Raw genomic sequence first — 25,396 nt, forward strand, 5'->3', positions numbered from 1 at the left:
TGTTTCCTCCATTATCAATAGTAGTGTAATTGCTATTACATACTAAACATTTGGCTTATATAAGAATGAATCTGGAACTGTGTGCTTGAAAATCTGCATTGGTAACTCATCTCCTAATGATACTTTGGGCATTTTAAAACACTTATAATGAACTCTCTATGTGAGGAGTCATAAACTCAAATGCCTCCATGGGGCAGGCAGGTTATGTAAGAGAGCGATTCAGGCCAGCTATTAGAAAAACAATGATTAGACTGGGCATGGTGTGGCTCATGCCTGTAATCCTAGCACTTTGGGAGGCCGAGCTGGGCAGATCACTTGACGCCAGGAGTTCAAGACCAGCCTGGCCAACATGGCAAAATCCCACCTGTACTGAAAATACAAAAAATTAGCTGGGCGTGGTGGCATGTACCTGTAATCCCAGTTACTCGGGAGGCTGAGGCACAAGAATTGCTTGAACCCAGGAGGCAGAGGTTGCAGTGAGCCAAGATTGCGCCACTGCACTCCAGCCTGGGTGACAGAGCAAGACTCTGTCTCAAATAAAAAAAAAAAAAAAAGAAAAACAGTGATTAATAGCACCTCACTTTGGGCCTATGTGTCCATGATGCAGTAGAGAGCAGTGTGGACTGGAGCTCAATGGAGACTGTTTATTCTGTCTGAATGAGAAGGCACTCAAGCCAGCTGTTGACATGTGGGAAAGTGGGCCTAGCACTGTTATTTTCTTGTTCCAGGAGAACAAGAAATCCCAAGTTTTCTGGATTTTTTTTTAACACATGGGTTTCAAGTAAAAGTTTTTTAAAACACTGTACAGGCCAAACAAAAATGTGACTGTATACTGGATCTAGCCCATGGAGGCCATTATGTGGCCTGTATTCTACATTCGTCCATCATGAGCTTCTCTGAGGATTTAAATAAACCTTTAGAGCTAAGAAAACACAACCTACTGTGTACTAGAGCCCAGGATGTAAGGAAGCTAAACATAGTACCTTCAAAAGAAGTTTTAGTCTTCAAAATTGTGGACCTCTAACGAGATACTTTGATGGGAACTGCCTGGGTGTGATCTCAGCTCCACCTTTTTTTTTTTTTTTTTTTTTAATGAGATAAGGTCTCACTCTGTCACCCAGCCAGGAGTGCAGTGGGGGAATCTTGGCTCACTGGAGACTCAACCTCCCAGGTTCAAGTGATCCTCCCACCTCAGCCTCCTGAGTAGCTGGGAACACAGGTGTGTGCCACCACACCTGGCTAATTTTCATATTTTTGTAGAGATGGGTTTTGCCATGTTGCCTGGGTTGGTCTTGAACCCCTGGGCTCAAGTGATCCTCCCACCTTGGCCTCTGAAAGTGCTGGGATTATAGGTGTGAACTACCATTCCTGGCCTTCCCCACCATTTTCTAACCTCTGTGCCTTAGCTTCTTCATTTGAGAAATGAACTAATAGTATCTCCTTTATAAGGTTATGAGAAATCAAATGAGACAATTTAGATAAAGTATTAAAGTATTAGTAAGTTCTCAATAATTGTTTTTACTCCTCTTTCTCCTTTTGCTACTTCTATTGCTGAACTAGTCACCCCTCATTTTTTCTTCCTCATATTTCAGGTTTCTGAGTCCCTTCAACATGATCCTGGGAGGAATCGTGGTGGTGCTGGTGTTCACAGGGTTTGTGTGGGCAGCCCACAATAAAGACGTCCTTCGCCGGATGAAGAAGCGCTACCCCACGACGTTCGTTATGGTGGTCATGTTGGCGAGCTATTTCCTTATCTCCATGTTTGGAGGAGTCATGGTCTTTGTGTTTGGCATTACTTTTCCTTTGCTGTGTAAGTGAACTTGAGTTTTTTCTTCCATCATCAAAAAAATGTAGAAGCAATTATCCAACGGGAATTCCATAACCCATTTCTTATATGTGTTGGCATGTCAGCAAAAGTGTCAGAATTTTCTAAAACAGCTTTCTACTTGTTATCCAACTAGACCCAGATAACACAGAACTGAGGTCAAGAACTATGAGGTCAAGGCCTTATAGTTCATTAATTCCACAAATATTTGTTGGGGCATCTGCTATGTGTCATACATTCTTTTGTTGTTGTTGAGATGGGGTCTACTCTGTCACCCACGCTGTGGTGTTATCTCGGCTTACTGCAACCTCTGCCTCCTGAATAGCTGGGACCACAGGTGCACACCCAGCTAATTTTTTGTGTTTTGGGTAGAGACCGGGGTTTTACTATGTTGCCCAGGCTGATCTCGGACTCCCAAGCTTGAGTGATCTAGCTTCCTTGGACTCCCCAAGTGCTGGGATTACAGGCGTGAGCCACTTCGCCCAGCTGTGTGCCATACATTCTTATGGGGACACAACAGTAAACAGAACAAAGACAAATCCCAGGTCATACAGCAGGAATGTGGCATAACCTGCACTAGACTCCAGATTTGTCTAATAAGAGAGTCTATTCTCAATTTTTAAGTGCCATTCCTATTGTCCTGACACAGGAATGAATGTATTTATTATTTGGAAGTAGACTATTTATTCTCCACTTGCTCAGGAGATCATAACTAGTGTTAAAAGTTTGGTAAGTCTATAGGAATAATTGGCTCAGAATATAGGTACTAAATACTCAGATTCTGGTGAAGAGATCTAGATATTCTCTAAGTTTTACATGAATTATTTACTAAGACTCCAAACACTTGAAGCCTGAAATAGACAAGAAATAAAATCCCAGCCTAATCAGCAGAAATCTGATTAAAATTCTAGTATATTAAGTGACAGGCACATCCCTTTAACTTTCAATAACATTTGACATGTGCACTTATTCCACTAAATGAAATTATTTGCTTGTTTAGGGCTTTGTTAGATTAAGTCCAGAATATTTATGGATACATCCCATACCCTATTGGATAAAATATCTGAGCCAACAAATTCACACATTTTTGGAATTTTCTTCAGGTTTTCTGTAGGTGCTTAACGCTTAGTATTTCAATGATACTGTTTAATCAAACAGCTTGCTAATTTTAATACCTTTCCACATCAGAACCTGAGACAGGCCAGTGTAACGAAATGTATCAGAGGTAGACAGTTAAGAGTCCTGATTTCTATTCTTAGACCTGCTGGAAACCAGCATGTGATTTGGACCAGTCATCCTATATGGGCTGTAGTTCACTCATCTCTAAAGTAAGGAGATTAGATAAGTGATTCCCAAACGGATAATTGTGACAAGCATTCAGGATACTTTTTAAAAATATACATTTCCCAGCCACATCTTTATTTTGTGGGTCAACAGTGGTACCCAAGGATGTTAGGTTTTTAGAAAGCTCGTCAACTATTTCTAACGGGTGGTCTAGGTTGAGATCCTCCAGATGAATCCACATCAGGGTTTTTCAAAATAAGGGTCCAAGATCCACCTACATCAGAATCATCTGGAGTGATTATTAAAATAATGAATTCTGGAGCCTTCCCTCAGTTGTAACAGTCTGAATTTGGGGTGATGGAGACCAGGAATTTGCCTATTTAACAGGCTCTCCAGGTGATTTGAATGTACATGGAAGTTGTAAAACCACTGGTATAGATCATATGGAGAGAGGGTTACCTGTTTAAAATACAGATTCCCAGGCCTGTCTCTTTAAGGCTCAGGTGGAGGAGGTCCAGGAAAGGGGATAGGGAATCTGTGGTAAAATAATCAAGCAAGTTTGGGGAACGGTAGGCTATAGAAACTCTGTAAAGCCCTTAGATTTTTACATCTAGAATTCTATACCCAACACTTTGGGTAAAGCCTCCGGGAGGCACTTTAAAAGTGGACTTTACTCACGTGCTCCTGCAGGGAACAAGATACAGATAATCCCGAATCGAGCAAGAGTTCTTTTCTGGAAAGCCTCGGGTAAGTTGATTTTTAAGTAGGATGGAATCCCGTTGATTCACTCTGAATTTCAGGACATTTAAGTAGCATCTGCAAGGTGATGATATCAGTGTGTGAAGGAAAGGGTGTGGCTTCCAGATAATGGTCCTTCCTGTTGAATACAGCATTTTCCTTTAATGCAGAAAAAAAACTATGTATGACTTGATGGAGAGCTTTACATAAAGTCCAAGGAGCCATTTGAAAGCTTGCATCAATTCGAGAAGCAGACTGGACTGTGGCTAACTAAGGCAGTTTACTAATAGTGTGAAGAGAGGGAGTGTAATATTGATATGGCAAAAGAGAATTGTTGCTTTGGTGTTAACCAGGTGTCCCTTCTCTGCAGTGATGTTTATCCATGCATCGTTGAGACTTCGGAACCTCAAGAACAAACTGGAGAATAAAATGGAAGGAATAGGTTTGAAGAGGACACCGATGGGCATTGTCCTGGATGCCCTAGAACAGCAGGAAGAAGGCATCAACAGACTCACTGACTATATCAGCAAAGTGAAGGAATAAACATAACTTACCTGAGCTAGGGTTGCAGCAGAAATTGAGTTGCAGCTTGCCCTTGTCCAGACCTATGTTCTGCTTGCGTTTTTGAAACAGGAGGTGCACGTACCACCCAATTATCTATGGCAGCATGCATGTATAGGCCGAACTATTATCAGCTCTGATGTTTCAGAGAGAAGACCTCAGAAACCGAAAGAAAACCACCACCCTCCTATTGTGTCTGAAGTTTCACGTGTGTTTATGAAATCTAATGGGAAATGGATCACACGATTTCTTTAAGGGAATTAAAAAAAATAAAAGAATTACGGCTTTTACAGCAACAATACGATTATCTTATAGGAAAAAAAAAATCATTGTAAAGTATCAAGACAATACGAGTAAATGAAAAGGCTGTTAAAGTAGATGACATCATGTGTTAGCCTGTTCCTAATCCCCTAGAATTGTAATGTGTGGGATATAAATTAGTTTTTATTATTCTCTTAAAAATCAAAGATGATCTCTATCACTTTGCCACCTGTTTGATGTGCAGTGGAAACTGGTTAAGCCAGTTGTTCATACTTCCTTTACAAATATAAAGATAGCTGTTTAGGATATTTTGTTACATTTTTGTAAATTTTTGAAATGCTAGTAATGTGTTTTCACCAGCAAGTATTTGTTGCAAACTTAATGTCATTTTCCTTAAGATGGTTACAGCTATGTAACCTGTATTATTCTGGACGGACTTATTAAAATACAAACAGACAAAAAATAAAACAAAACTTGAGTTCTATTTACCTTGCACATTTTTTGTTGTTACAGTGAAAAAAATGGTCCAAGAAAATGTTTGCCATTTTTGCATTGTTTCGTTTTTAACTGGAACATTTAGAAAGAAGGAAATGAATGTGCATTTTATTAATTCCTTAGGGGCACAAGGAGGACAATAATAGCTGATCTTTTGAAATTTGAAAAACGTCTTTAGATGACCAAGCAAAAAGACTTTAAAAAATGGTAATGAAAATGGAATGCAGCTACTGCAGCTAATAAAAAATTTTAGATAGCAATTGTTACAACCATATGCCTTTATAGCTAGACATTAGAATTATGATAGCATGAGTTTATACATTCTATTATTTTTCCTCCCTTTCTCATGTTTTTATAAATAGGTAATAAAAAATGTTTTGCCTGCCAATTGAATGATTTCGTAGCTGAAGTAGAAACATTTAGGTTTCTGTAGCATTAAATTGTGAAGACAACTGGAGTGGTACTTACTGAAGAAACTCTCTGTATGTCCTAGAATAAGAAGCAATGATGTGCTGCTTCTGATTTTTCTTGCATTTTAAATTCTCAGCCAACCTACAGCCATGATCTTTAGCACAGTGATATCACCATGACTTCACAGACATGGTCTAGAATCTGTACCCTTACCCACATATGAAGAATAAAATTGATTAAAGGTTTTTTTGGTGAGACTTTATTTAATGCACATCTGTCTTAAATACCTGAGAAACTTGGCGACGACCCTATAAACAGTGAAGCAAACACTTCAGCTGTTTCAAATACTGTTTAGTAAAGCTTGAATACTTTATTAACTTGCAGCCAGAATAAAACAATTCCAGTGGGATCCTATTTTTAAACCTGGCACGAGTTTTATATACATGTTAGCCCAGTTTTATATACATGTTAGCCCATTCCATTTTCTACAAGGTGAATTCTGCCGATAAAATCCAATAAATTTGGAGAAACTAATAAAAAAAAAGATACCTGTAATTACTAATGGCCAGTAGTCAATTCTGGAAGGGTAATAACAGAAAAATGTAACATATAAATGTTGTAAATTATGATTACATTTAAAAACAAGCTAAAATCTGCAACTAAGATCTTTAGGGTTGGGTGGTAGAAAAAGCATAATGTGAACTGCTTCACCTCTTTTGGCAAAACCTGTGTATTGAGGCCATAAGCTATGAAATTGGATCATCTTTTCTTCTTGTATATCTAAGATAAAAACCCTCTTACTGTGCATTTTGAAATTCCTGACTTTAATAATACTGTGGCTATACAAACAAATGCATAGGGGCTTTCTAGAATTTTTTTTTTTTTTTTGAGATGAGGTTTCGCTCTTGTTGCCCAGGCTGGAGTGCAATGGTGCAATCTCAGCTCACTGCAACCTCCACCTCCCATGTTCAGGTGATTCTCCTGCCTCCCAAGTAGCTGGGATTACAGGCATGAGCTACCATGCCTGGCTAATTTTGTATTTTTTTTTTTTTTTTTTTTTTTTTTTAGTAGAAATGGGGTTTCACCATGTTGGTCAGGCTGGTCTTGAACTCCTGACCTCATGTGATTCACCCACCTCGGCCGCCTACAGTGCTGGGATTACAGGCATGAGCCACCGCACCGGCCTAGAATTTCAACTACTAATTTACATTAAGCTTTTAATTATGTTTAAAGTGCTTTTCCTATCAGAGTTTAGCCTCTTAGATGTAGTATGTGCTAGACACTTGAAGTTTTGTTTGTTACAGCCCTTTCTTAGCTATCCTGCTTTGTATGCAAGGATGTTTTCTAGAAATATTGAAGGGTGAGAAAACAAAACTATCAGCCATTGAAAACTATATTTAAATTTGGATACTTTTGTACATACTAAATTATCTTAAAAAAATAGAAACGCCATATTTCTTTCCCATGGCTTGTCTTTCCAAATAATGTGTTGTTTTTAAGTCTGTCACAATTAGACCTATTCTCCCCTAGCCTGTTTGGTTTGATACATGCCACTTATGATAACATAAAAGGAGAAAGAAGGCAGGTGCCAATTATTTACTCAGGTAAAGAAGAGAGAAAAGGCACCAAAGGTTTTTTTTTTTTTTTTTTTTTTTTTTTTTTTTTTTTTTTTTGAGATGGAGTATCACTCTGTCACCCAGGCTGGAGTACAGTGACGTGATCTTGTCTCACTGCAACCTCTGCCTCCCCAGTTCAAGCAATTCTCCTGCCTCAGCCTCCCGAGTAGCTGGGATTACAGGTGCCTGCCATCATGCCCAGCTAATTTTTGTATTTTTAATAGAGACGGGGTTTCACCATGTTGGCCAGGCTGGTCTCGAACTCCTGACCTCTGGAGATCCTCCCTCCCTGGCCTCCCATAGTGCTGGGATTACAGGCATGAGCCACCGCACCTGGCCCAAAGCTTGATTTTCTAATTTCTAGGGTTCACACTACTTCTATTATTACAAAAATCTCAAATTCTATGCACCTAGTGGCTAGAATGAATAATTAAGGCCTCTAGGAACTTGGAAGAAGGACAGATTGGAGTTGTCTGGAAAATTTTTTATGGAGGACACAGGATCTGACCCGGGAGTTGAAGACTGGGTAGGACGTTCATTAATGGAGAACAGGAGGGAAGTCTCTTGGAAGGATTAATGCGAGCAAAGGCACAAGGGTGTGCACAAGGATGTTTCATCGAGTAGAGTATAAAGGATTTGTGGGAAATAAGACAGGATTAGTAAATTGGGGCCAGGCAATGGAGTGCCTTAAAGAATAGGATAAGTAGTTCAAGTTTAATCCTTCCTGTAAGCAAGTTTCCTTTAAAATATGTTTGAGAGTGATAAAATCAAATTAGACTTACAGAGTAAACACATATGAGCGTGTGTGTGTGTGTGTGTATTTAGCCAAAACCAAAAGCTTGTCAATAACTATATTATGTAAAACTTCTTTTCTATAAAAACAGCATGCTGTCTCCCATTGTCCCTCTATATATGAAAACTTGCTGCCAGGAAGTTTTCATATATGCAGGGTTTACTTTCCCATTACTTTTCCTAGTGACACTTAGTTTTCACCATGTTCTGTGGCTTACGTGTTCTGCCCCTCACAGGTACCCCTATAGAAAGAATACTCCAAAACACCAAGGGAGTCACCAAGAGAGAAAGCCAGGCAGGGTGGGAAACTGAAAATCTCCACTGATTCTGCAGAGAAGCTCTAAGGAACAATCCTTCCATTTCAAAGCATCAGAAGGGCCAGGAGCTCAATTCATCCTTCACATTTCCATAGGATGAAACATTATTTGTTCCCTTTAAGATACTATGTGATGAATTACCGCAGAAGAGATGGAAGGAGAAAAAAATGGGAATACAATAGTTAACACTTCTGTTATATTTATTATTTACCAGAAGAAAACAATAATAAAGCAAATGTTTAAAAAATTTTCTTTAACTTCTGCTTCGGGAAATATGACTCTAAATTTCACCTGAGTCACTCAAATTGATTGCAAGTAGAAAATATTGCCTCTAAATATTATATTTTATCTCCTTCCACCTTCCTCTTCAGCCCCTACTTCTTCATGGCCCAAACATTCTGCCTTTTACAAATACCCTTATCAGATGGTAGCATTGTTTCCAGTTCTGCCACGTGGATCCTAAAGTATTGCTGCTGACATAGTCTCCATGCTGTAATCCAAGAGTCACTATTTCCATTTCTTGTTCTTCTAGATGGCTCTGTTGCCTCTTACGCCAGTTCTTTTGGCAGTTGCACCTGCGATTTAAGCATTTGAGGAAACGGGGGAAATTAATCCTGGAAATTTAAGAGCTTTGCAGCAAAATTTACAAAATTTACATGCCTTAAAAGATACAGAATAGGTTTGAAATTCTGGCCAAAGCACCTCCAAAATCAAGATAAAACAACAATCATAACCACAGCCACCATTTATTAGACATTTACTAATGCCAGGGACTGTTCCAAGAGCTTTGAGCACATGGCAAAGTAACATCATGGAAATAAGAGGGCGGGTGCCTAAGTTGGCCTGGGTTCAAAGACTGGCACTAGCATGTAGTAGTTATGTGGTGTTGGGCATCAGTTTTCTCAGCTGTAAAATGATAATAACAGTATCTAATTCACAAGGCTATTATACAAGTGAGTAATCCATGTTAACACTTTTTTTTTTTTTTTTTTTTTTTTTGAGATGGAGTCTCAGTCTATCTTCCAGGCTGGAGTGCAGTGACACCATCTTGGCTCACTGCAACCTCCAACTCCCGGGTTCAAGCGATTCTCCTGCCTCAGCCTCCCAAGTAGCTTGGATTACAGGCATGTGCCACCAATGCCCAGCTAATTTTTGTATTTTTAGTAGAGACAGGGTTTCACCATGTTGGCCTGGCTGGTCTCAAACTCCTGGCCTCAAGTGATTCACTTGCTTCGGACTCTCAAAGTGCTGAGATTACAGGCATGAGCACCCGGCCTAACACTTATTTTTAAAACAGTATCTCATTACATCCTACAAAAGCCTTGTAGGGAGAGAAATGGCTCAGAGAAGACAATAACTTGCCTAAGATCATACAGCTAGGAAGTGGCAGAGCAGGATTTGAACCAGGTCTGCCTGATTTCAGTGCTCATTATTATACACTGCCTGTAAAAATATCACTATAAGAATATAAAATATATGTTCTTTTTAAAACATGTCTTTCCTCTTTGAAGCACACTCCTAATCTGATGGTCAGAAATATTTAAACATGAAATATAAGCCAGGCAAGGGGGCATGCACCTGTAATCCTGGCTACTCAGGAGATTGAGATGGGAGAATCACTTGTGGCCAGGAGTTCGAGACCAGCTTGAACAACAAAGTGAGACCCATCTCACCTTGTTAGGATTTTTATTTTATTTTTTTTAGACAAAGTCTTACTCTGTCACCCAGGCTGGAGTGGAGTGGCATGATCCCGGCTCAAGACAACCTCTGCCTCCCAGGTTCAAGCGATTCTCCTGCCTCAGACTCCCAAGTAGCTGGGACTACAGGTGCATGCCACCACGCCCAGCTAATTTTTGTATTTTTAGTAGAGACGGGGTTTCACCATGTCGGCCAGGCTTGTCGTGAACTCCTGACCTCAGGTGCTCCACCCACCTTGGCCTCCCAGAGTGCTGGGATTACAGGTGTGAGCCACCGCACCCAGCCACCTGATTTTCTTAAAAGAGTTTTATAACAAGGCTGGGCGCGGTGGCTGACGCCTGTAATTCCAGCACTTTGGGAGGCCGAGGTGGGCGGTTCTCCTGAGGTCAGGAGTTCAAGACAAGCCTGGCCAACAGGGTGAAACCCTGTCTTTACTAAAAATACAAAAATTAGCTGGGCGTGGTGGCACGTGCCTGTAATCCCAGCTACTCAGGGAGCTGAGGCAGGAGAATTGCTTGAACCCGGGAGGCAGAGGTTGCCTTGAGCTGGGATCCCACCACTGCACTCCAGCCTGGGCAACAGAGACACCATCTCAAAAAAAAAAAAAAAATATATATATATATATATATATATTTAAAGCATCCCCCAAGACAAAAAAAAATTATAAAACAACAACAGAAGTCCAACACTGCAAACCCACTTCATACTTCTGCCTCATAGGAAAACCTTAAGGACAAAGCAAGTTTTTAAAGGGTTTCAAGTGTCATTGTATCTTAGGAAAGTAACTCATCAACTCATCCATCATGTATGTACCTTCCAGAGGACACTGAAGATGCCCAGTGTCCCCAGGGCATTTGTATAACAATGACTAGGAATGTTTCTCCCTGTATTGCTAATGTCCACCTGCCAGTGTGATGAACCATTTTGGTCATCTGCTCTGGCTCCTCTTGCAGCCAGTTCTCAGCCCACGATCTTTGGCTAGGAATGTTTTTCCAATATTCTGCCCACCAGAGAGGACCTTTGATGTGCTGCTGCCTGCCAGCCTTCAAGCCAAGGGGACTTCCATGGCTTCTGACCCTCTACCTCCCTTGTGCCAAACTTTGAGAAGAGAGGGGTATGACTGCACCCTGCAGGGCTCTCCCATGGAGAACACCAGTAGTTAAGAGAAACCATGAGCCAGGTATTTAAAATAACTGTAAAGCTGCAATAAATAGTTAAAACACTGTGTTCTTTGTATTATGGAATGGAAAAAGAAGCATTTTATATAAGTTATTCCCTGTATTTGTTTATATATGCATGGAAGAGTTCCAAAATAATATTTTAAATTTAAAAATTTTTTAATTATTTAGAGAGATGAGGATCTCACTGTCACCCAGGCTGGAGCGCAGTGGTGCAATGATAACTCAAAGCAGCCAGGCCCTCCTGGACTCAAGTGATCCTCTTGCCTTGGCCTCCCAAAGTACTGGTATTACAGGTGTGAGCCACCATGCCCAGCCCAGAATAATATTTTAAAAAGAAAATGTGGCACTGACCCAGAATAGTAAACCCAGACACATATTTACTTTAAAGTATGACCAAGCTGGTAGTTCAGATCACTGGGGAAAAGAGGAATCAGTCACTAAATGATCACTGGTTAACTATTTGGAAAAGAAATAATGAAATAGCCTTCTTGCTTTCTACTGACTTTAAAAATTAACCCTTTAATCTATCCATAATATCAAATATTTTTTAAAAACCAAAAACTATAAAAGTTGCAAGAAAAGGCAGGCACACATTTTAATCATTTTCAAAGAGGCCATTTCTAAGCAGAATACAAAAGGTAGAAATCATAAAAATAGCTAGATATGATGTCATAAAAATGTAAAACTTACAAACAGAAGAAAATCAACTTGTGTTATTGGTAGGGAGCCTTTTTCCCCTTTGCTTGTTAGTTTTCAAAGAAAGTATGTCTAGTGTGCTTGTGTGTGTGTGTGTGTCTAGCATCACACAGTGCACACATACGCATACACTCAGAGGCTTGGAGGCAGAGCGGGTGGGAAAGTTGGTTTCAGCACAGGCTATTTAATTTGGTCTACCTGTATTAAGTTCCTGCTCTGGACCAACACCTCAGTGGATGTCCAGGACAGAGATGAGCAAGACCTGCTTTGAAGAACTCAGAATCCTGTAAGGCTCAAAGTCTTTCCACCACTGTGGCCAGAAGGGCTGTCAACCTGAAGCAGAATGTGGGAGGTGCTATAAAAGAGGTGTGGACAAAAAAGGTAATGGAAATACACAGGCAGAGTACCCCTAACGTTTTTTTGTAAGAAGTAGCATTTGAGTCAAGCCTTGGAAATTGGATAGATTCTAACAGAGATAGAAGAAAAGGTAATTTGAGGCAAAGGGTGGTACAGAGGCAAGAAAGCAAGGCCCTTCAGGGAAGACAGCAGCAGACATGGTTTACCATAGATGTCACCGAGTCGTGATTGTCAAATGTGGTCCCAGAATAAGCAGCAGCAGCATTACCAGGGAATTTGTCAGAAATGCAAATATTTAGGCCCCATCCAAGACCTACTGAATCAGAGACTCTGTCAGTGGACTCAGTAATCTGTATTTAGCCCTTTAGGTGATTTTGATCCACAATAACATTTGAGAATCACTATATGGACTTTAGAAAAGTGTATAAAAAACCTTTTTTCCCACTACACATCAAAGGCAAGCAATTCTGGTTTATATAATTCCTGGATTATACGTGCTCTTGATGAGCTTGAAATGTTACATTGCTTTTTTCCTATGGAGGCTCCCTTCATTAGAATTGTAACATTTCCAAAGCTATGATCTATGTTTGGCTTTGGCTTTTATAGATCATCCTGGTTTCTTTATTGGAGGTCCTAAAAATGGGGGAGGAGGGGTCGAAGGAAGAAAAAGAAGTAGAAGGTAACCCTGGAGTTTCAGACCTGAATGCGTGACAGAATGGAGATAAGACAGAAAACTGGGAACCAGAAGCAACCACTAGGCCTAAAAATGAGCAGCTTGGTTTGGGGACAGATTGAACGTGCTAAGAAAACCCTGAGTGATCTAAAGGGAAAGGGAGATTTGGGAATTGTTCTAGATTATGTGACAAGAGAAAGAGGAGAAAATTTCCCATTATGTGATGAGAAAGAGGAGAAAAGTACAAAAGGAGAGAATCTAGAGAATCTGGCTAAAGAGAAAGAAGACCTCATAAATGAGGCAAAGAAGAAATGGCCAGTGATGAAGATGAATGCTGAAGGGTTTGTAAACTTCAGTTCTGTAATCATAACAACCCCTAATGTGTCATGGAGTCTTTTGATGTACTAAGGCGGCCCATGATATTATTATACTGAAGTCTTTCTGGAGGAAAATTTAGCAATGGCTTTAGCCAACTGGATGGGAGCAGTCCAGATATACATGAGTAAGCCTGAAGTGAAATTGAGTGAATGTTAAAATAGTTATCTTGCGTGATTGGCACAGAAGCTTGGATATGATACAAAATGCAGCTGGCCTCAGGGAATTAGACAGTTGCTGCAAATGGGATTTTATCTCAGTGAAAAGTACAAACACTCATTTGAGATGGTAGGAGTGAGCAGACCACAAGATTTTTGAAGATGAAAGAATATCACACATTTGTCAGGGAGGGATAGGCCTATACCAGCCTAATGTCTTTGTGTTATCATACGACTCAGCTTTATTAACTCATAGGGAAATGATTTAGTCATTATCCAATAAATTCAGTTTGTTAGATAAGACAAAGATTTTTAAAAACATAGCTAAAAACAACAAGAGCATAATAAAAAAATTCTACAGAAGCCAGATAAGTCATGTAAATGAGTGAAGCATGCCAGGTACAAAGCAGTAAGGGCAAAAGAGAAAAACTAGAGGGTCCATGAGCATTCTCAAGGATGAAACCAATGCATAGAAACAGCTAATTTTTTCCATGCAAGTGCAGTGTGGCCAGATCTGATGTTCCAAGTGGTGCTAGATATCTGGATTTTTTTGCATGTGACATTCAAAAACTTACACAATGATACCCAAGCTAAATAAAGTGGGCCTGCTTTACCTCATGCTTTACCAGATCTGACCTCATGCTTTACCAGTTTTCAATACCTGGCCCACGGAGTAAACTTCTTTTAAACTGAATTGAATGGGTAATTTCTCAGAGGAGGAAGCATTTGAGCAAAGCAAGTATATGGATTTTCCTTTATTTTTTTGCCAGCAACTTCATTTCAGGTATCCCAGGCCAGAAGCGTGGGGTAGGGAGAGAATAAGCATTAATTTAAAATTTTTGAGACAGAATCTCGCTCTGTCGCCCAGGCTGGAGTGCAGTGGCACCATCTTGGCTCACTGCAAACTCCACCTCCCAGGTTCTAGTGATTCTCATACCTCAGCCTCCCAAGTAGCTGGGATTACAGGCGAGCACCACCACACCCGAATATTTTTGTATTTTTAGTAGAGATGGGTTTTCACCACGTTGGCCAGGTTGGTCTCAAACTCCTGGCCTCAAGTGATCGACCTCCCAAAGTGCTGGGATCACAGGTGTGAGCCACCGCACCCAGCCTAAAAAAGAATTTTAAAATACATGTGCTCTATCAAATACAAAAGTAATATTTCCAAATCTATAAGGAAAATAACTACTTTTATTTTTCACACAGGGTCTCACTCTGTTGCCCAGGCTGTAGTGCAGTGGCACAAACATGGCTCACTGCAGCCTTGACTTCCTGAGCTCAAGTGATCCTCCTGCCTCAGCCTCTTGTGTAGCTGGTACCACAGGTGCATGCCATCACACCAGGCTAACTTTTAAAAATGTTTTGTAGAAACAGGATCTCACTTTGTTTTGTTGCTCATGTTGGTCTTGAATTCCTGGGCTCAAGCAATCCTTCTGCCTTGGCCTCCCAAACTGTTGAGATTACAGGTATGAACCACCGCTCCCAGCCAGTAACTACAATTTAAAAAAATTTTTCTGTCGAGCATGGTGGCTGATGCCTGTAATCCCGCCACTTTGGGAGGCTGAAGCGGAAGGATCACTTGAGCTCAAGAATTTGAGACCAGCCAGGGCAACATAGTGAGATCTCATCCCTACAAATTAAAAAACAAAAAAAAATTAGCCGTGTGTGGTGAGTGCGGTCCCAGCTACTCAGGAGTCTGAGGTGGGAGGATCACTTGAGCCCTGGAGGTTGAGGCTGCAGTGAGCCATAATTGAGCTACTGCACTCCAGCCTGGGTGATAGAGTGAGATCCTGCCTCAAACACACACACACACACACACACACACACACACACAAAACTTTTCTAAGAAAAAAATTTGTTTCTGAATAATGTTCTCTTTAGTAACATCATACACACACAGAGAACCCCACAAGGTTTCAAAACTGTGTTTTAATTTTAACCTCGTTCTTGAAAATCCAGGGATTTGGAGGGTATCTGTCCCAAATCCCCAAAACCCTTCATTTCACCTCTATCAAGTGAACATTGTCTTGTCTCACTTGATTGGCTAAAACTATCCCTTTCTGCTGAGATTTTGTGACATTACCATTTATAGTGTTTACTGTACTTTGAGTCTAAGATGTATATTTTGGGACATTTCAACAGCTCTGAAATCAGAATCCATCTTAAAATCGATGGTGTTTTACAATAGTTGGCTGGAGACCCAAGTGTGAACACATCATAGCTACTCATACTATTATTACCTCCATTGAGTCATGTGCCCTGTTGATACTACACACACAGATGTATTGCCTCTTAAAATAGCTTTTAAAGAAAGATAAGTAAGCAAATGTGGTAAAGTGAGACGGGTATGCAAGAATTCTTTGTACTACTTTTGACCTTCTGTAAGTCTAAAATGACCTCAAAACAAAACAAAAAAATTAAAATATCTTTTAAAAGATTATACTATGTTTTGGCTTTAAAGCAGAAATTTATAGTACATGCAGAAAGGCACAGAAACAGAGTGCTGGGAAGCAATCTGATATTAGTGAAGCAAATTTTCATTAGTGCAAGGAGGCATTTTCATATTTTTCTTGCCGAGTGTTTTCCAGGACCGAATAGATGAAGTTGTGTGACATTTTGTAACTGAGACACATGCAAACAGATCTGTCACAGGCCAAGCCAGGCAACTGAAGGCAGGAGAAATTGCCAATCCTTCAGAATAAATGAAGCCCTTTCAAAACCGAGGGTGATATGCAAGATTGTCATTCAAAAAGCATGTCAGAGTTCACTTTGCGGCATGTTTTTCTTGAATTATTTTTTTTAAAACACCACCACCAAATACACTTAAAATTGGTAGTAGTTTTGAATTGATTAAAATATGAAAAATGCAGTGCTTGGTGGGGTGTTTTATTCTTGCAATTATCATCATGAATTTATTTTAATGTCTTTTGTCCTAGACTCTAGACCCAAAACTGTAGTGTTCTCAGTTGAGTAAAAGGCAGAGGGGTGAAAAATTAAACCTACACTGTAAGCTCTGTGTGCGGTCGAGACTGAACCTGACTTACCACTATATCCCCAATCCTTCTCATCTGCCTGACATATATATTTGTTAGATTAACAAATAAGTGAATGGATAGAATGGAATTGACCCAGGAAAAATGGATTTGCTCAGCAGAGCACTCAGAAGTCAGGGAGTTGGTTCAGATGCTCTTCTGAACTTCATTCCCTCTTCTACTCCGAACTTACATGCCACCTTTGGCACAGATTTTTTCAAAAGACGTCTCATCATTCTTTTCAGACTGCTCTTTTCTGAATGTACAGCCACCAAGGTGGCTTGAATATTCTTTGCCAATGACTAGTTACTGGAAAAGTGGTAGAACTAGTTTCTCTCAAACAATACCCCAATTCATTCCTAGGGGAGTTCTGGCTGTCCAGAGAAGAGCAGGTGCAGAAAGTCTTGATGTTGTGCCCAAGGGCAGGCAAAGAACCATTGTCTGACCTCATGTGACCTCCAGCGTTCTCACCCTGGCCACTGCTCCAGGAAGAATCAGAGCCTCTCTAAATCATAGATGAAAGTCAGCTTTGATTTAGAAGAATGGGCTATTGATAATTCTCCATTCTAGGAGTTGGGAATAAGGACGATACATATGTGAAAGACTAGCAATTATTTCAGAATATCAAGCTCTTTAAAGCAGAAAAAGAGCAAGCATGCATAAAAATTCAACATGTTTTGAAAAAACATGAATCTGTGTAACAAAATAATATACAGACTATTCTGCCAACATAATCTCGTGGCTATATTACAGGAGATTTTAAAATAATATAGTTAATTATCAATCACCTGCGGCCTCTGAACACATCTTTCAACCTCAATAAACGCCATCATAATAATGACCAAAATATCTTCATTTCTGCAACTTAAGTTGCACGGAAAATAACTTTTCCACTCGGCAGTAATCGTGGATCATGGTAAATGTTAAATTGAAATAGTGATTTTAAAACTCCGTGAATTCATGGTGACACCAACCTGAAGTTCAACATTTATCTGCCTAAAAAGTGAGCAATACAAATGCAATTTCGAACAGTCTCTCTTCATCTACTAAAAAGAACTGTTTCTATGCATTTTGGAAGCATTCCATTATCTACAAACAACTGGCCCAATTTGGGTGGTTTTTTTTTTTTTTTTTTAGATGGAGTCTCGCTCTGTCACCAGGCTGGAGTACAGTGGTGCAATCTCCGCTCACTGCACCATCCGCCTCCCAAGTTCAAGTGACTCTCCTGCCTCAGCCTCCTGAGTAGCTGGGACTACAGGTGCCCGCCACCATGCCCAGATAATTTTTGTATTTTTAGTAGAGATGGGGTTTCACCATGTTGGCCAGAATGATCTTGATCTCTTGACCTTGTGATCCACCTGCTTTGGCCTCCCAAAGTGCTGGGATTACAGGCGTGAGCCAATGCGCCCGGCCTGGCCTCATTCTTATTTATTCCTCACTGTAGGTTCCTAGGGATCTCTGAGTGTCAGCTCCATTGTGGCTGGAATGGTGTTCTTTTGAATATGCACTTGAAGAGGTCAGAAGAAGAGGTGAATTAAAGCTTGACTCTAGACTCAGAACCGGGTTTCAATGTCAGCTCTACCACTTCCTAGCTGTGTCTCCTCCACATGTTATTAAATTCTCTAAGCCTCAGTATCCTTTTTATTAAATGGGGAGAATAACAGTACCTAGCTTATAGGGTTAGTAAGATGATTACATGAGTTAATTCATATAACAACTCCAGCCTATAGTAAATGCTCCCTAAATGTTAGCTGCTAATATCGTTGTTACAGAAGTCATATAGGCGTACCTAGAGATGGGGTGCTACAGGTGTACATCCTTAGGGATAGCAGTAATTTAGTTCTATTGGTAATGCTCATTGGCTTCCCCCAGTTGGTCTCAATTAGTGAGTATCCCCTTATGTTAAAACAGAGAGGGAATAAAGTTGGGATGCATTTACTATGGAGGGTGCTCAGTCACCATTTCTCCCTCCTTCTACTTACAGGTTTAAGATAGGCGACACTGCTGTGACGAATGTCGTTTAGCAGCTGATCTCTGGGAGTGATTTCCACCAATGGGGGTGGCCTGTTTCTCGGCACTGGCTTGAGCGTTTTGATGACATCTTTGAGGTTGGTTTTCTCGGGTGGTTCTCTGGCTTCCGGCATCCGAGATTTGCGCTGGATTCTCTTCAGCTTCACCACCCGGAAGGAGTCAGGGTCTGTCCTGTACTTCGGGGCCTGCGATGGCTTTTTCATCATTTCACTGCGTTGACTAAAGGGGACATTTTGGGGGTTGGGAGGCCGAGGTGGCGGTGGCTGGAAGAATTCCTGCATTCTGGAATCTGGCTTGGGTCCTCCCAACAGCTCCCACATCCCAGGGGGCAGCCCCAACCCATTCTCTAACATGGCTATCAGCTTCTTCTGTTCCTTGAGTTGCTGCTGTTTTTGCTCTTCCTGTCGTTTCTGCCTTTGTTTATCCTGATTCCTGGTGAGCAGATTAGTGACCACCATTCTGGGACCCGGAAGCTCAAAATGGTAGCCCATCTTCAGGAGAGTGTTGTTTGCCTTCAAAAGCCTGGCTATTTCCATTTCAGCATGGTGACCCAACATGTGCCTCTGATTGTGAAACCGAAGCTCAGTTAGCGTCTCATTAAACTGGAGACACCTCATGATGGCCACAATCCCTTTACCTGTGATGAAATTGGACTCGATGTTGAGAGTGGTGATGCTTCTATTTTCACGCAACATGTTAGCCAAGGCAAATGCTACATTCTCATCTGCACCCACATTGGCTAAACTGAATGTTTTGATGTGCTTGTTTTTCTTCATTGCATTGACAAAGTCCAGTAACATTTCTTTGGGGATGTTTTCAATGTTGTTCAGGTTGAGTTCCTTCATGTCAGGATCATTTTTCCTAACTCTCCTCAAGCTCCCATCCAGGTCTGTCTGGTTTCCTGAAGGCCTTGTACTTACCTTCAAAAAGCTGGTGTCTAGAGCTAACTTCTTAGGATCTAATTTCGATATTTTTTTCTCACTTTGTTCTTGGGCCTCTGGTCTGTCTCTCTGTTCTTTGAATGCTTTGTCAGTTACCTGCTGGCAGTTGTTCTCACAATTTCTAATTTGTTCCTTTGCTTTGCCTTCCTCTTCTCTGTTCGTTTCTTCACTCTCTTCACCATCATCTTCTCCTTCGTCGTCATCATCATCATCTTCTTCTTCTTCATCTTCTTCATCTGTTTCTTGGATATTGCTGCTGCCCTTTGATTCTCTTTTATTTGCAACTATTTCATTATTGAGCTTTTCTTTTAAATACTGGGCCATATTTTTATTACGTTTTTCTATTTCTTCATGCTCTTCTTGAGTCTTTTCCTACAAGAGAGGTTTATGAGGGTTAGAATACATAGCAGAGAAGAAATATGAAGTGGAGCATCAGCTAGTGGAGATAATAAAAATGCTTATTTAAAAGAGCTGGTTGCTATTTTAAATAATCCTTATTTAAATAGCTGATTGCTAAAAATGGGTGGTTATTCTATCCCATAAATTAAAATGAGTATTAAAAGGAAACCTTATTAATTTTAATATTCTGTACTTTTTAATGGTGTTTAATTTCAGAAGCAGTTAAAAATTGTTTTGAAAACCTCATAGAATTGTTCATCGATACACTGAAGCTTTGATTTTGTATCTACCAAATAGGCATCTAGTACCCAACAGTCCTGAGTTAGGGCAATAATTTCCTTATTATTCCAATATATTATAAATGTGATACTATAAATATATTAGAATAAGGAAATTATTGCCCTAAAATTAACATCCCTACAATGTCTACTAATCTAGTATAGAATGTACATGAACTTCCTCTGAGAACATAACATAATGTATGGGAAATTAGATACGTTTGACATTTTGGAATATATATATATTTAAAAACCTCAATTTTGATTTTGAATATATATATATACATATATATATTTAAAACCTCAATTTTGATTCTATTTTTTCAGTTCTTTGACAACTGCCATGATACTCTGTCTAGGACAAGTTTACTATCCCAGTTTCTTGTGAAAGAAAGTGCCTAGGAACCAGGGCCAGCTGTAAGATGAAACAGGATTATGCAGACATTGAGAAATAATTGCTTAGTCTGGGAAATAAAATGGGCCTTTTATCAATAATATGTATTAGATTCTTGCACATCAATTATAATGCTTTTCTATGCAACTTGTGGGCCTCATAGATATCATTTTGAAAGCCAGTATAGCAAGTTGAGACACAGGTTCATTTGAGCAAAAATTTCATGCTCATAACATAGGTCAGAAGAGACAGTGACAAGTCACCTTAACCACCTGAAGTCTTCACCACTGCATTTCTCACCTTGACCAGAAGGGGGAGCCAACCATCAAGCTGTTCAAGTTATACCAGAGGAAGGAAAAACATGTTGCAAGTACTCGTTTTTACCCCCTGAAACTGGCATTCACATAGAATTGGCTTTTCATCCATTGATCTCCAGTTGTAAAAAATCTGCAAATTGTACCTTGAACTCTAACCTGATCAATCCAGCTGTTTCTTTTCTTAATCTTAGCACATGTTTAAACTCTACTGACTGTAAAACCAATTGACAACTTTCCTTAATTACAGCCAGCTTCAGAGTAATTTAACAAGATGTATCTTTGTAAACAGGCATAACCTAAAGAGACTTTACCTAGGAGGCATCTCTGTCCTCTTTTTGTTAAGTCATTTTCAAGTGGAACATAAAAAAAAAAATTATGCTCATGCACAGTAAGTTTGCAGAGTTAACAATTCTAGCTTTCAGGTTTTAGAAAGTGAAGAACTAGCTTCAAAACCACTTAATAGCCATCGATTTCTAAATGTCATCACTGACAGCCAATACATAGTAATAATATAAGACATTTTCTGGTTATTCGACTTGGTTTAATTGCAGGTTGTGTGGCCAGACTTCAGGAGGACTGAAATGTTTGACACTGTGTGCGAAACACTGCGTATGTTTGGATGTGCCAGAGAGACAGAGGCTACAGAGCTGTCATTACTTTCTCAAAGGGGCCTGCAATAAAAAAGAAAGAGAGAGGTAAGGACAACTGCCTCTGGGTTATGAGTTAAGTCACTAAGTATCGTGGCAATAGAACACAGGCTTTCTGACACAGCAAACCCGACAGCAATTTTTAAAAAGAGACATTTGCAAGAAATTACCCAATTTTCCCCTTGTAAATATAAATGTGTTTCAGAAAGTTCCAGTCGGAGTAGGATTAAATATTATGGTTTAATCTAGATATGGCAAAAACAAAGCAGAACCAAACCCTGGAGTCTTGAGAAATCACAGTTACAACAGAGAGACCTAACAGCCCATCCCAGGCAGCCATTTCTCGGTTGTACACAAATCTCTGGTTACCTCGGATTTCACAAAGGTGACAGGAACTCGTTCCTCTTCCAGCATGCGCCTGGATGCCTTTTCCCAATACATATAATCAACAAGAGATTTATGATTGAAGTTTCCTGTCGGTGGCTTGTCAGTTTGATCTTTCTGAATCATTCCCACGGGAAGGCTGGGGTCAGGGGCCATGACTTCCATTTCCGACTGCAGTTCTTTCAGTTCTTCAGCAGACAAGTTGGCCAAGATTTCATCTTCATTAATCTCCTCATCGAGAAGTTCTTCTTGATCTGAATTTCTGCTGTGCTCTGACATTATTTTTTCTAAATATTATTTTACTAGAAAAGAAGAATAATCAAAGATGATTTTTAAAAAGAAGGAAAAAAGCCTCAAGAAGGTCCCCCAGTTAACGAGTGTCCCAAGTTAACACACCCTTGAGATATTTTTTTTTTTTTCCCAGGAACCTCAGTGGTTTGCTGAGCAGCTAGGAGTGATCACAGCTAAGCTCTTGCCGGATCTATATTAAGCAGGGCTTGGCTGGATGGGGTCAATTTATGGAACAACTATGCTGCTCTCTTTTTGGCAACTTGAGTCAGCTGCGCAAATCCATCTGACATTTCAGTACAGCTGCTATGTTTGCCAGAGACTAGCAGAGACTACAGAATCTCTGCAGGAATAAAATTAATTATCTTCCTATATGCCATCATATTGCCATACACAAATTCATGCAGCTCATACATACATACCCCAATACTCCAGGGGATTCCACTTGTTTTTATTTAAATATTAAAGCAACTTACAATATTTCAGAAGGGAAATCCAACCAGCAACCTGAGTTGTTTCTGAAGTAAAGAATTCACTTGAAGGTAGAAATCAAGCTCTTAGGGTCTGCCTCTTCCCTACAAGGTGAGTGTGGAAGCAAATAAAGTGGTGCACAGTGGAACAGAGGTCTTGCTATGTCACTCATCCTCTGTGTAAGCCGAACCTTTGCAAGATGTCCTGTTTGCATCTAGATCCTGTGATCTAACAGATGGGGACAACCAGCACTTGGATTTCCACTATAAGTGAGTTTAATATTTTAAATTATTTGCTTTTCTTATTAAGTATCCATTAAGCCAATATCAATGAAAATGGCTCTAAAGTGAAGTGTTAAAAAAGAAATCCAGACCACTAATATACTAAAAGAAACTATGAGAAGATTTTGTTTTCAAACCCTGAAGGGGCAATATGCAACATTTGTCCAAATTACAAATGCCCATTTCCTTTGACCCAGCAATTCCACTTTGAGAAGTGTATCCTACAGATATACCCCTACATGGGTGAAACAACGTGTGTACAAGGTTACACAATATAGCAAAGTACAAAACAGTGTGTTTTACATGCCATTATTTGTGTGACAAAGGGTACAATAATATATAATATACAAGTTTTATTATATATATATTTAAGACAGGGTCTGGCTCTGTCACCCAGGCTGGAGGGCAGTGCTGCGATCTCAGCTCACTGCAACCTCTGCCTCCCAGGATCAAGCTGGGACCACAGGCATGCACCACTACACCCAGCTAATTGTATTTTTTGTAGAGACAGGGTTTTGCCATATTGCTCAGGCTGGTCTCGAATTTCTGAGTTCAAGCAATCCACCTGCCTCGGTGTCCCAAAGTTCTGGGATTACAGGCGTGAGCCACCGTGCCTGGCTCGTAAATATATTCTTATTCCGAAATATACATTCATTGTACAAGAGTTAGGATAACATAGAAAGGCACAGAACAAAATCTTCCCCTTACCTCACTGTGAAGCTACCACTATTAACATTTCAGTTTTTTCATTCCAGTCCTTTCTTTTAGGCATACAAACTCTATCATTTTTTCTCATCTGTTTTTTTGACTGAGAAAGTCAGGATTCTTTTTTTCTAGGCAACTGTGTACTCTACTACTAAATAATTTTTTATTGCCCTCTGTTAGGATTCTTTATATGGATGTACCATAATTTGTATAACCAATCCTCAATTGTTGGATATTTAGAATGTTTTCAATTCTCACAAGCACAAATAGTTCTTTAATAAATATCCCTATACCTAAATAGTTTATAAACACACAAGTTTATTTCTTTAGAGTAAATTGAACAAATTCTAAAAAGTGAAATTGCTAGGTCACAGAATACGAAGAAATTAAATACTTTTTATATGTAGATTAAAGTAACAGCAAAAATCACAATTACTTTTGCACCAACCTACTAGGACCCATCTCCAATCTACTTATATTAAATATTTACAAATACTATACATGTTGGCCGGGCGCCGTGCTCATGCCTGTAATCCCAGCACTTTGGGAGGCCGAGGCGGGCAGATCACCTGAGGTCAGGAGTTCAAGACCAGCCTGGCCAATATAGCAAAACTCTATCTCTACTAAAAATACAAAAATTAGCCAGGCGTGGTAGCAGGCACCTGTAGCCCCAGCTACCCGGGAAGCTGAGGCAGAGAATCACCTGAACCTGGGAGGCAGAGGCTGCAGTGAGCTGAGATCACACAACTGCATTCCAGCCTGGGTGGCAGAGCAAGACTCCATCTTAAAATAAATAAATAAAAACAAACAAACAGATATACATGTTACCATTCCAACATTTCATATATATGTAAGTTTGAAACTTGAGACACCCCCATTCCTTTCTCCAAAAGTATCCAAGGATTTTAGTTTCTTGTGTATCTGTCCAAGGATATTTTATTGATAAAATTTGTGAAAAAGGAAGAAAAAAAAAATCAAATCAAGTGTGAGTTTGAAATGAAAGTTATAATATTTTCTTCCTACCCTAGTGTTTTATCTTGAGCATTCCAGGTTGAAAGGCTTTTCATATGTAATTAATGCCCCAGAAAGGTATTTCCAATTTACTTGAATGAGAATTTTCAAAGGACACAGTTATGTACTGGCAACTTATCCCTGGCCTCTCGCCTATCAGGTCTTCTCTTCTTCTTTTTTTTTTTTTTTTTTTTTTTTGAGACTGAGTCTCACTCTATTGCCCAGGCTGGAGTACGGTGGTATGATCTCGGCTCACTGCAACCTCTGCCTCCTGGGTTCAAGTGATTCTTGTGCTTCAGCCTCCCCAGTAGTTGAGACTACAGGCGTGTACCACCACACCCGGCTAATTTTTGTATTTTTAGTAGAGATGGGTTTTCACCATGTTGGCCAGGCTGGTCTTGAACTCCTGACCTCAGGTGATCTGCCCATCTCGGCCTTCCAAAGTGCTGGATTACAGGCGTGAGCCACCATGCCTGGCCAGGTCTTCTTTTAGTCCCTGTAAAAGGGGGAAGAGTTGAGCCTTGGTGGGCAGGGAGGTAGACCACTTTGTAGACCACTGATTTGTGGACCATCATTTCATAGAGTTTTCTTTGCAGAACAATGATCTAAAGAGATTCAGTCAAAACAAAAACAAAACAAAACAAAACAAGAACAACAAATCAATTTTGTTCAGGGAGGCTTGGGAAATGTTATATTCTGCATTTGTGTTTTAGATATTTGTAAAGCACAATTAGCTTTGAGAAACTCTGAGAAATTCTACACTAAAGAAACCAGTTTTT

The 25,396-nt window shown here is 39.9% G+C and overlaps 2 protein-coding genes across 3 annotated transcripts in view, besides 3 other annotated features; one reads left to right on the plus strand and one right to left on the minus strand.

Annotated features, from left to right (window-relative positions):
• ARL6IP5 (ARF like GTPase 6 interacting protein 5) overlaps positions 1-5,846 on the plus strand; it is a 21,156-nt gene extending 15,310 nt beyond the window's left edge. Inside the window, exons 2-3 of the mRNA NM_006407.4 lie at positions 1,593-1,810; positions 4,218-5,846. Coding sequence (NP_006398.1) covers positions 1,593-1,810; positions 4,218-4,390 — 391 coding nt within the window. The 3' untranslated portion in view covers positions 4,391-5,846. The remainder of the gene's footprint in view (positions 1-1,592; positions 1,811-4,217) is intronic.
• Positions 3,574-4,773: an enhancer, noted in NCBI's record as "CDK7 strongly-dependent group 2 enhancer chr3:69152971-69154170 (GRCh37/hg19 assembly coordinates)". NCBI's record gives its function as "activates an origin of replication core promoter dependent on BRD2, BRD4, P300/CBP, MED14 and CDK7 cofactors, with strong dependence on CDK7, by STARR-seq in HCT116 cells {active_cell/tissue: HCT116}" and the evidence as "EXISTENCE:reporter gene assay evidence [ECO:0000049][PMID:35650434]".
• LMOD3 (leiomodin 3) lies at positions 5,819-22,349 on the minus strand. Of its 2 annotated transcripts, NM_001304418.3 has the most exons (4): positions 22,258-22,349; positions 21,847-22,163; positions 18,453-19,814; positions 5,819-8,875 (listed from the first exon to the last, which is right to left on the minus strand). In NM_001304418.3, exons 2-4 carry the CDS (start codon positions 22,138-22,140, stop codon positions 8,849-8,851), a joined length of 1,683 nt encoding a protein of 560 aa, NP_001291347.1. In that variant the 5' UTR covers positions 22,141-22,163; positions 22,258-22,349; the 3' UTR covers positions 5,819-8,848. The 2 variants fall into 2 exon arrangements, with proteins under 2 accessions (NP_001291347.1, NP_938012.2); NM_198271.5 differs by having other exon boundaries at positions 21,847-22,349.
• Positions 10,646-11,147: an enhancer, noted in NCBI's record as "NANOG hESC enhancer chr3:69160043-69160544 (GRCh37/hg19 assembly coordinates)". NCBI's record gives its function as "activates a minimal SCP1, AML or CMV promoter by ChIP-STARR-seq in naive H9 embryonic stem cells {active_cell/tissue: H9 hESC(naive)}" and the evidence as "EXISTENCE:reporter gene assay evidence [ECO:0000049][PMID:30033119]".
• Positions 21,204-22,403: an enhancer, noted in NCBI's record as "CDK7 strongly-dependent group 2 enhancer chr3:69170601-69171800 (GRCh37/hg19 assembly coordinates)". NCBI's record gives its function as "activates an origin of replication core promoter dependent on BRD2, BRD4, P300/CBP, MED14 and CDK7 cofactors, with strong dependence on CDK7, by STARR-seq in HCT116 cells {active_cell/tissue: HCT116}" and the evidence as "EXISTENCE:reporter gene assay evidence [ECO:0000049][PMID:35650434]".

Source organism: Homo sapiens, chromosome 3 (genome assembly GCF_000001405.40).
Source record: "Homo sapiens chromosome 3, GRCh38.p14 Primary Assembly".
NCBI lineage: Eukaryota > Metazoa > Chordata > Mammalia > Primates > Hominidae > Homo > Homo sapiens.